Consider the following 2,787-nt stretch of genomic DNA (forward strand, 5'->3'; position numbering starts at 1 on the left):
CTGCGAGCTGACTTCAACGAATGAAACAGAGGGGAATGATTAAGAGGTGGTGTCCAGAGACAAAACCAAAGCCAGAGGAAGGCAGACAGTCTACCCAGTGATTGGAGAGGGACGCATGGAAGGGAGTCACCATGGCGACTGGGCCAATGCCTGATGGTCCTTCTCAGAGGCCGCATAGTGAGGTGTTCAAGCAGTTTCTGAAGCCAGGTTTACTGGCTTTCAATCCTGACTTCATGGCTTACTCTCTGAGAGACCCAGAGACAGTTACTTGACCTTCTTGTTTTACAATTTCCTCATGTTTAAAACGTCATTGATTATTATGGTACCCACCTAGGATACCATACCATCCTAGGAGTAGATTGTACAATTGAGTTAGTGTGGGTAAAGTGCTATGAATAGTTTCTGGCACATTGTAAGTGGTTAAAAACTGCTATTTATTATTAGTTATTAGTAGTTAAGGCCACTTCTCTAAATTCAATTTGGGCTACTAGTAACATTTTGAGAATGATTTTCAAGTCTCATCCTTATCAATCTCTTTGTCAACAGGCACTGCCATTCCTCAGCCCATTCCAGACAGAGCAGAAGAGAGAAAAGAAGAAATAAAGCAAAAGAAACAAGAGAGAGTAAAAGAAGCTCCCATGGTTTTTCTCTGAGAATTTCACTGGGGATCTAATTTTAAAGAAGGGGACATGAAGATTGAAGAAAGAACACATAATTTCAACCATTTTGTTAAATGAAATTTGTTGGCTCTATAAAAACGCTTCTGTTTTGGTTATGTCCTCTAGTTTTCCCTGGTTTTCCTTACAAAGAATAATAATTCTGTTCTGTCCTCTCCATCCCAGACTCTAAATATTCTTTTTTTTTCTCGTCCATGAAAGCAAAACTCCTAGGCTACATCCCGTGTAACTCCAGCAATGTGAGCAAGCTTTTGTTCCCAGTATTGGCAGCATTTCCCCCGTCGTTTGTCCCCCTGCCTGTCTGCAGGTCTCGGAGCAGCTCTGCTGTCGGAGATCGCAGGGAGTTGGTGGATTCAAGCCATGGGGCTTCTTTTATGAGCCAAGTGCAGAGAAAGGAGCTTTTCATATGCTCCAGCCTGCAGTCAGGTACTCCCTGGTGGGCTTCTCACAAAGCCTAGGCCCTGGAGCTCTTCCCTGGAGTTTGCATTTGTTTCCTTATAGGGCACGTTCCTGGCGATGGGTAGGAGGAAATGGCAGCCCAAATAAGCAGCTCCCTCTGCAGCCACTCTGGGCTGGTTCCCTGCTCAGCCCATAGAAGTCACTGGTTTGACCCAGTCCTCCCTAAAGCCAGCCTGAGTTCTTTATTAGTGAGCATGAAAAATGCTTCAATCATAGCACCAGATGGTACCCAAACCAATTTGGATTGTCAGCTGAGGCCTACTCATTTCCAAGGGCTTGGTCTAACATCAGTGTTATTTCCCTCAGTGCCCATCTAGCCCTAAAAGATGATCTTGCTCAGATGATTTTGATGAGAAATAATATTTTACTCTACACAGGACCACAGTCATTACTTCTTTCCATCTTTATTAATTCATTCAACAAGCTTTTATTGAGTGCCTGCTGTGTGCACTAAGCATTTTAGGGCATACCAAAGAGAAATTCTTTTCTGTATAATAGATATTTGTTGAGAATCTACTATGTATGTGGCAAACATGATACTAGATAATGGACATATAAGTCACTAAGAAGAGGTACTTTCCATTACTCATAGACGTAGAGAGATGAAGAGTGCAGTTACACAACGGGTACTGGGAAAGACAAGTAACCCAATGTCCTGTCTTACCCGCTTTCAATTTTGCTACTTGAACTATAAACAAAATTTAATTTGGTTCTCTATTCTCTCAATCTTCCTAAAAAGAATTTGCCAATAACATTAATATACCACTTAGGCAGGAAGGATGCTGGAAAGAGTCACTGATTCTGTTCTCTTCTACCTTACCACTCAAGGAATGGTCAATGCACTGTCAATGGCATCTCCTGGGAACTTGTTAGAAGTTCAGGTCCCACTCCAGACCTGATGGATTAGAATCTGCAGTTTTAATAAGATCCACAGGTGATTTATCTGCCCGGGGAAGTACTGCTCTGCTAGTTATTTGTGCCTGAGGTATTCCAACAATGATGGTGGGCTCAGTGAAAGATCACCACATTTATTTTTTCAGTGAATATTTATTGAGACCAACAACTCAGTATCTGCTAGTTACATAATCACTTTATTTTTTTAAAAAAAGGTGCGGCCATTCCTTACACATGAGTCACTGAGTTTTGGACTATGTAACCTTGACATGAGTGCCACTGTTGATTGGACAGAGATCCGGATTTAAACCAAAAGCAGCCATTGATGAGCCAGTGACCTTCACAGTATTCTGGCCAGAAAACTCTCTGAAGCATGGTTGCATTGTATTTTGCATAAATAACTTAGAGGCATTTTCCTAGGGAATTCAAAAACTCGATAGGATTGATGTTCACCATAAGTAGAGTTAGAGAGACTTAAAAAGAAGCAAGCAGGAACCATCAGGTTGAGAGTAGATAGAGAATAGGAGAAAAAATTTCAGGTCCATATCACTGTTTTGTGTGTGTGTGTGTGTGTGTGTGTGTGTGTGTGTGACTGAGTCTCACTCTATCGCCCAGGCTGGAGTGTAGTGGCGTGATCTTGGGTCACTGCAACCTCGCCTCCTGGGTTCAAGTTATTTTTGTGCCGCAGCCTCCTGAGTAGCTGGGATTACAGGCGCCTGCCACCACACGCAGCTAATTTTGGTATTTTTAGTAGAGA

The 2,787-nt window shown here is 42.4% G+C and overlaps 1 annotated feature.

Annotated features, from left to right (window-relative positions):
• Nucleotides 749-1,293: an enhancer, noted in NCBI's record as "OCT4-NANOG-H3K27ac hESC enhancer chr1:163369660-163370204 (GRCh37/hg19 assembly coordinates)". NCBI's record gives its function as "activates a minimal SCP1, AML or CMV promoter by ChIP-STARR-seq in naive and primed H9 embryonic stem cells {active_cell/tissue: H9 hESC(naive and primed)}" and the evidence as "EXISTENCE:reporter gene assay evidence [ECO:0000049][PMID:30033119]".

Source organism: Homo sapiens, chromosome 1, assembly GCF_000001405.40.
Source record: "Homo sapiens chromosome 1, GRCh38.p14 Primary Assembly".
In the NCBI taxonomy this organism is placed as follows: domain Eukaryota; kingdom Metazoa; phylum Chordata; class Mammalia; order Primates; family Hominidae; genus Homo; species Homo sapiens.